This window comes from Homo sapiens, chromosome 20 (assembly GCF_000001405.40).
Source record: "Homo sapiens chromosome 20, GRCh38.p14 Primary Assembly".
Taxonomy (NCBI): domain Eukaryota; kingdom Metazoa; phylum Chordata; class Mammalia; order Primates; family Hominidae; genus Homo; species Homo sapiens.
The window spans coordinates 29,851,220-29,859,748 of NC_000020.11; the positions used below are offsets into that span (position 1 = coordinate 29,851,220).

At 36.8% G+C, this 8,529-nt stretch overlaps 1 annotated feature.

Annotated features, from left to right (window-relative positions):
* Positions 1 to 8,529: part of a centromere (Linear centromere model derived predominantly from reads generated in PMID: 17803354. This region does not represent an actual centromere sequence, as long-range ordering of repeats and unmapped WGS contigs is not provided by the model. For details of model production, see http://arxiv.org/abs/1307.0035.) that runs on past both edges of the window.

Consider the following 8,529-nt stretch of genomic DNA (forward strand, 5'->3'; position numbering starts at 1 on the left):
GGTTGAACCTATCTTATGATTGAGCAGTTTTGAATCACTCTTTATGTAGAATCTGCAAGTGGATATTTGGAGCGTTTTGAGACCTACCGTGGAAAAGCAATTATCTTCAGATAAAAACTACACAGAAGCATTCTGAGAAACTGCTTTATGATGTGTGCATTCATCTCACAGAGTTGAACCTTTCTTTTGATTGAGCAGCTTTGAAACACTCTTTTTGTAGAATCTGCAAGTGGATATTTCGTGTGCTTTGAGTCCTACCATGGAAAAGGAAATATCTTCACATAAAAAATACTCAGAGGAATTCTGAGAAACTTCTTTGTGATGTGTGCATTCAACTCACAGAATTGAACCTATCTTTAGATTGAGCAGTTTAGAATCTCTCTTTTTGCAGTATCTGCAAGTGGATATTTGGAGCCCTTTGCAGCCTGTGGTGGAAAAGAAAATATCTTCACACAAAAACTACTCGGAAGCATTCTTAGAAACTTCTTTTTGATGTGTGCATTCAAATCACAGAGTTGAACCTATATTTTCATTAAGCAGTTTAAAATCTCTCCTTTGCAGAATCTGCAAGTGGATATTTGAAGCCCCTTGTGGCCTATGGTGGATAAGGAAATATCTTCAAATAAAAACTACACAGAAACATTCTGAGAAACTTCTTTGTGATGTATACATTTATCTCACAGGGTTGAAACTATCTTATGACAGAGCAGTTTTGACACACTCTTTTTGTAGAATCTGCAAGTGGATATTTGCAGCCCTTTGAGGTCTTTTGTGGAAAAGGAAATATTTTCTCATAAAAATTACAGAGAAGCATTCTGGGAAACTTCTTTGTGATGTGTGCATTCATCTCACAGAGTTGAACCTTTTTTTTCATTGAGCTGTTTTGAAAACTCTTTTTGTAGAATCTGCAAGTAGATATTTGGAGCAATTTGAGGCGTATTGTGGAAAAGGAAATATCTTCACATAAAAACTATACTGAAGCATTCTGAGAAACTTCTTTGGGATGTGTGCATTCATCTCACAGAGTTGAATCTTTCTTTTGATGGAGCAGTTTTGAAACAATCTTTTTGTAGAATCTTAAAGCGGATATTTGGAGCAATTTGAGGCCTATTGTGGAAAAGGAAATATCTTCTCACAAAAACTACACAGAAGTATTCTGAGAAACTTCTTTGTATTGTGTGCATTCAACTCACAGGGTTGCACCTATCTATTTATTGAGCAGTTAGAATCTCTCTTTTTGTAGAATCTGCAAGTGTATATTTGGAGCCCTTTGGGCCCTATTGTGGAAAAGGAAATATCTTCAAATAAAACTACGCAGAAGCATTCAGAGAAACTTCTTTGGGATGAGTGCATTTATCACACAGAGTTGAACCTTTCTTTGGATAGAGCAGTTTTGAAACACTCTTTTCGTAGGATCTGGAAGTGGATAATTGGAGGGCTTTGAGGCCTGTTTTGTAGAAGGAGATATCTTCACATAAAAACAACAAAGAAGCATTCTGAGAAACTTCTCTGTGAGGTGTGCCTTCAACTTACAGTGTTGAACGCATCTTTTTATTGAGCAGTTTTGAATCTCTCTATTTGCAGAATCTGCAAGTGGATATTTGGAGCCCTTTGGGGGCTACTGTGGAAAAGCAAATATCTTCACATATAAACTGCACAGAAGTATTCTGAGAAACTTCTTTGTGATTTGTGCATTCAACTCACAGAGTTGAACCTACCTTTTGATTAAGCAGTTTTGAATCTCTCTTTTTACAGTATCTGCACTTGGAAACTTGGAGCCATTTGTGGCCTATGGTCGAAAAGGAAATATCTTCAAATAAAAACTACACAGAAGCATTCAGAGAAACTTCTTTGTGATATGTGCATTCATTTTCACAGGGTTGAACCTTTATTATGATTTAGCAGTTGTGAAACACTCTTTTTTTAGAATCTGCAAGTGGATATTTGGAGCCCTTTGAGGCCTGCTGTGGAAAAGCGAATATCTTCAGATAAAAGGTACACAGAAGCATTCTGAGAAACATCTTTGCGATGTATGCATTCATTCACACAGAGTTGAACCTTTCTATTGTTGAACAATTTTGAAACACTTTTTTGTAGAATCTGGAAGTGGATAGTTGGAGGGCTTTGAGGTCTATTTTTGAAAACGAAATATCTCCACATAAATACTACACAGAAATATTCTGAGAAACTTCTTTGTTATGTGTGCATTCAACTCTCATAGTTGAACTTATCTTTTGATTGAGCAGTTTTGAATCTCTCTTTTTGCAGAATCTGCAAGTGGATATTCGGAGCCCTTTGAGGCCTGCTGTGGAAAAGCAAATATCGTCACATAAAAACTACACAGACGCATTCTGGGAAACTTCTTTTTGATGTGTGAATTCAACTCACAGAGTTGAAGCTATCTTTTGATTGAGCAGTTTATCATCTCTCTTTTTTCAGAATCTGCAAGTGAATATTTGGAATGATTTGAGGCCTCATGTGGAAAAGGAAATGTCTTCACCTAAAAACTACACAGTAGCATAAGGAGAAACGTCTTTGTGATGTGTTTTTTCCAACTCACAGAGTTGAACCTATCTTTTGATTGAGCAGTCTAAAATCTCTCTTTTTGTAGAAACTGCAAGTGGGTATTTCAAGCCCTTTGTGCCCTGTGGTGGAAAAAGATATATCTTCAAATAAAAACTACACAGAAGCATTCAGAGAAACTTCTTTGTGATGAGTGCATTCATCTCACAGAGTTGAAACTTTCTTTCGATGGAGCAGTTTTGAAACACTCTTTTCGTAGAATCTGGAAGTGGATATTTGGAGGGCTTTGAGGCCTATTTTGGAGAAGGAGATATCTTCACATAAAAACTACACAGAATCATTCTGAGAAACTTCTTTGTGTCTTGTGGATTCAGCTCACGGAGTTGAATCTATCTTTTGATTGAGCAGCTTTGAATCTCCCTTTTTGCAGAATCTGCAAGTCGATATTTGGAGCGCTTTGAGGCCTACTGTGGAAAATCAAATATCTTCACATAAAAGCTACACAGAAGCATTCTGAGAAACTGCTTAGTGATGTGTGCATTCATCTCACAGTGTTGAAACTTTGTTTTTATTGAGCAGTTTTGAAACATATTTTTTGTAGTATCTGCAAGTGGACATTTTGAGCCATTTGAGGCGTATTGTGGAAAAGGAAATATCTTCCCATTAAAAACTACACAGAAGCATTCTGAGAAACTTCTTTGTGATGTGTGCATTCAACTCACAGAGTTGAACCTATCTTTTGATTGAACCGTTTAGAATCTCTTTTTGTAGAATGTGCAAGTGGATATTTGGAGTCCTTTGCGTCCTATGGTGGAAAAGGATATATCTTGAAATAAAAACTACACAGAAGCTTTCAGAGAAACTTCTTTGTGATGACTACATTCGTCACACAGAGTTGAACCTTTCTTTGGATTGTGCAGTTTTGAATCTCTCTTTTTGTAGAATCTGCAAGTGGATATTTGGAGCGTTTTGAGGCCTACTGTGGAACATAAAATATCTTCACATAAAAACTACACAGAAGCATTCTGAGAAACTTCTTTGTGATTTGTGCATTCATCTCACAGAGTTGAATTTTTCTTTTGATTGAGCAGTTTTGAAACACTCTTTTTGTAGAATCTGCAAGTGGATATGTGGAGCCATTTGGGGCCTATTGTGGACAAGGAAATATCTTCACATAAAAACTACACAAAAGGACCCTGAGAAACTTCTTTGTGAGGTGCGCATTCAACTCCCAGAGTTGAAAGTTTCTTTGGTTTGAGCAGTTTTGAAACACTCTTTTGGTAGAATCTGGAAGTGGATATTTGGTGGGCTCTGAGGCCTATTTTAGAGAAGGAGATATTTTCACATAAAAGCTACAGAGAGGCATTCTGAGAAACTTCTTTGTGATGTGTGCATTTAATTCACAGAGTTGAAACTATCTTTTGATTGAGCAGTTTTTAATCTCTCTTTTTGCAGAATCTGCAAGTGGATATTTGGAACCCTTTGAGGCCTGCTGTGGAAAAGCAAATATCTTCACATAAAAACTACACAGAAGTATTTTCAGAAACTCCTTTGGGATGTGTGCATTCATCTCACAGAGTTGAACCTATCTTTTGATTGAGCATTTTTTAATCTCTCTTCTTGTAGAATCTGCAAGTGGATATTTGGAGCCCTTTGCGACCTATGGTGGAAAAGGAAATATCTTCAAATAAAAACTACACAGAAGCATTCTGAAAAACTTCTTTGTGATGAGTGAATTCATCTCAAGGGGTTGAACCATCTTATGATTGAGCAGTTTTGAAACACTCTTTTTGAAGAATCTGCAAGTGTATATTTGGTGGGCTTTGAGGAATACCGTGGAAAACCAAATATCTTCAGATAAATCTGCACAGAAGCATTCTGAGCTACTTCTCTGTGATGTGTGCATTCATCTCACAGAGTTGAAACTTTGTTTTGTTTGAGGAGTTTTGAAACACTGTTTTAGTAGAATCTGCAAGTGGATATTTGGAGGGCTTTGAAGCCCACTGTGGAAAAGCAAATATCTTCAGATAAAAGCTACCCAGAAACATTCTGCGAAACTTCTTTGTGATGTGTGCATTCAACTCACAGAGTTGAATGTCTCTGTTGATTGAGCAGTTTTGAATCTCTATTTTTGTAGAATCTGCATGTGGATATTTGGAGCCCTATGTGGCCTATGGTGGAAAAGGAAATATCTTCAAATAAAAACTACACAGAAGCATTCTGAGAAACTGCTTTGTGATGTGTGCATTCATCTCACAGGGTTGAACATATCTTATGATTGAGCAGTTTTGAAACTCTCTTTTTGTAGAATGTGCATGTGGATATTTGGAGTGCTTTGAGGCCTACCGTGGAAAAGCATATATCTTAATATAAAAACTACTCAGAAGCATTCTGAGAAACTTCTTTGTGATGTGGGCATTCATCTCACAGGGCTGAACCTTTCTTTTGATTGAGCAGTTTTGAAACACTCTTTCTGTAAATTCTGCAAGTGGATATTTGGAGCTTCTGATGCTTATTGTGGAAAAGGAGATATCTTCACATAAAAATTACACATAAGCATCCTCAGAAACTTTTTTGTGATGCATGCATTCATCTCACAGAGTTGAAAATTTCTTTTCATTTAGCAGCTTTGAAACACTCTTTTTGTAGAATCTGCAAGTGGATATTTGGAGTGCTTTGAGGCCTAGTGTGGAAAAGCAAATATCTGCACATAAAAACTACACAAAAGCATTCTGAGAAACTACTTTGTGATGTGTGCGTTCACCTCACAGACTTGAACCTTTCTTCTGATTGTGCAGTTTTGAAACACTCTTTTTGTAGAATCTGCAAGTGGATATTTGGAGCGATTTGAGGCCTATTGTGGAAAAGGAAATATCTTCACATAAAAACAACACAGAAGCATTCCTAGAAACTTCTTTGTGATGTGTGTCTTCAACTCACAGAGATGAACCTATCTTTTGATTGAGCAGTTTTTCAACTCTCTATTTGTAGGAACTGCAAGTGGATATTTGGAGCCCTTTGCGCTCTACTGTGTAAAAGGAAATATCTGCAAATGAAAACTACACTGAAGCATTCAGAGAAACTTCTTTGTGATGAGTATATTCATAACACAGATTGAAACCTACCTTTGATTAAGCAGTTTTGAAAGACTCTTTTTGTAGAATCTGCAAGTGGATATTTGGAGAGCTTTGAGGCCCATTGTGGAAAAGAAAATATCTTCACATAAAAACTGCACAGAAACATTCTGGGAAACTTCTTTGTGATGTGTGCATTCAACTCACAGAGTTGAATCTTTCTTTTGATTGGACAGATTTGAATCTCTCTTTTTGTAGAATCCACACGTGGATATTTGGAGCCCTTTGCAGCCTTTGGTGGAAAAGGAACTGTCTTGAAATAAAAGCTACACCGAAGCATTCTGAGAAACTTCTTTTGATGTGTTCATTCATCTCGCACAGTTAAGCCTATCTTATGATTGAGCGGTTTTGAAACACTCTTTTTGTAGAATCTGCAAGTGGATATTTGGAGCGACTTGAGGCCTATTGTGGAAAAGGAAATATCTTCACATAAAAACTACACAGAAGCATTCTGAGAAACTTCTTTGTGATGTGTACATTCATCTCATAGGGTTGAAACTATCTTTTGATTGAGCAGTTTAGAAACTCTTTTTTCAGAATCTGCAAGTGGTTATTTGGAGAGCTTTGAGGCCTATTGTGGAAAAGGAAATAAATGCACATAAAAACTACGCAGAAGCATTCTGAGAAACTTCTTTGTGATGTGTGAATTCCACTCAGAGAGTTGAACCTATCTTTTGATTGAGCTCTTTTGAATGTCTCTTTTTGTAGAATCTGCAAGTGGATGTTTGGAGCCCTTTGCGGTCTATGGTCGAAAAGGAAATGTTTTCTAATAAAAACTACACAGAAGCATTCTGAGAAATTTCTATGTGATGTGTGCATTCATCTCACAGGGTTGAACCTATCTTATGATTGAGCAGTTTTGAAACACTCTTTTTGTAGTATCTCCAAGTGGATATTTGGAGCGCTTTGGGGGCTATGGTGGAAAAGGAAATATCTTCACATAAAACCCACACAGAAGCATCTGAGAAACTTCTTTGTTATGTGTGCATTCAACTCAGAGAGTTGAACCTGTCTTTTGATTGAGCAGTTTTTGAACATCTCTTTTTGCAAAATCTGCAGCTGGATATTTGGAGCGCTTTGAGGCCTACTCTGGAAAAGCAAATATCTTCACATAAAAACAACACAGAAGCATTCTTAGAAACTTCTTTGTGAGATGTGCATTCAACTCACAGAGTCGAACCTATGTTTTGATTGAGCATTTTCAATCTCTCTTTTTTAGAATCTGCAAGTGGATATTTGGAGCACTTTTAGGCCTATTGTGGAAAAGGAAATATCTTCACAGAAAAAACTACATAGAACCATTCCGAGAAACTTCTTTGTGATGTGTGCCGTCAACTCGCAGAGTTGAACCTATCTTTTGATTGAGCAGTTTTTAAACTCTCTTTTTGTAGAATCTGCAAGTGGATATTTGGAGCCTTTGTGCTCTATGGTGTAAAAGGAAATATCTTCAAATAAAAACTACACAGAAGCATTCAGAGAAACTTCTTTGTGATGAGTGCATTTATCACAGAGAGTTGAAAACCTCCTTTGACTGAGCAGTTTTGAAACACCCGTTTTGCAGAATCTGCAATTGGATATTGGGAGAGATTTGAGGCCCATTGTGGAAAAGGAAATATCTTCACATGAAAACTACACAAAACCATTCTGGGAAACTTCTTTGTTATGTGTGCATTCAACTCACAGATTTAAGCTTATCTTTTGATTGAGCAGTTACGTATCTCTCTTTTGGAGAATCTGCAAGTGGATATTTGGAGTGCTTTGAAGCCTACTGTGGAAAAGCAAATATCTTCAAATAAAAAATACACAGAAGCATTCTGAGGAACTTGTTTGTGAGGTAGGCATTCAAATCGCAGAGTAGAAGCTATTTTTTGATTGAGCAGTTTCGAATCTCTCTTTTTGCAGACTCTACAAGTGGATATTCATAGAGCTTTGAGACGAATTGTGGAAAAGGAAATATCTTCACATAAAAACTACACAGAAGCATTCTGGGAAACTTCTTCGTGATGTGTGCATTCAACTCACAGAGTTGAATCTATCTTTTGATTGGGCAGATTTGAATCTCTCTTTTTGTATAATCTGCAAGTGAATATTTGGAGCCCTTTGTGGCCTATGGTGGAAAAAGGAAATATCTTCAAATAAAAACTACAGAGAAGCATTCTGTGAAACTTCTTTGTGATGTATGCATTCATCTCGCCGGGTTATACATATCTTATGATTGAGCAGTTTTGAAACACTCTTTTTGTAGAATCTGCAAGTGGATATTTGGAGCGCCTTGAGGCCTATTGTGGAAAAGGAAATATCTTCACATAAAAACTGCACAGAAGCATTCTGAGAAACTTCTTTGTGATGTGTGCATTCATCTCACAGAGTTGAAACTTTCTTTTGATTGAGCAGTTTTGAAACCGTCTTTTTGTAGAATCTGCAAGTGGATATTTGGAGCGATTTGAGGCCTACTGTGGAAATGGAAGTATCTTCATATAAAAACTACACAGAAGCATTGTGAGAAACTCCTTCATGGTTTGTGCATTCAACTTACAGAATGGAACCTATCTAATGATTGAGCAGTTTTGAATCTCTCTTTTTGCAGAATATGTAACTGGATATTTCGAGAGCTTTAAAACCTATTGAGGAAAAGGAAATATCTTCACATAAAAACTACACAGAAGCATTCTGAGAGACTTCTTTGTGATGTGTGCATTGAACTCACAGTGTTGAACCTATCTTGTCATTGAGCAGTTTTGAATCTCTCTTTTTGTAGAATCTGCAAGTGGATATATGGAGCCCTTTGTGGCCTATGGTGGAAAAGGAAATATCTTCAAATAAAAACTACACAGAAGCATTCTGAGAAACTTCTTTGTTATAAGTGCATTCA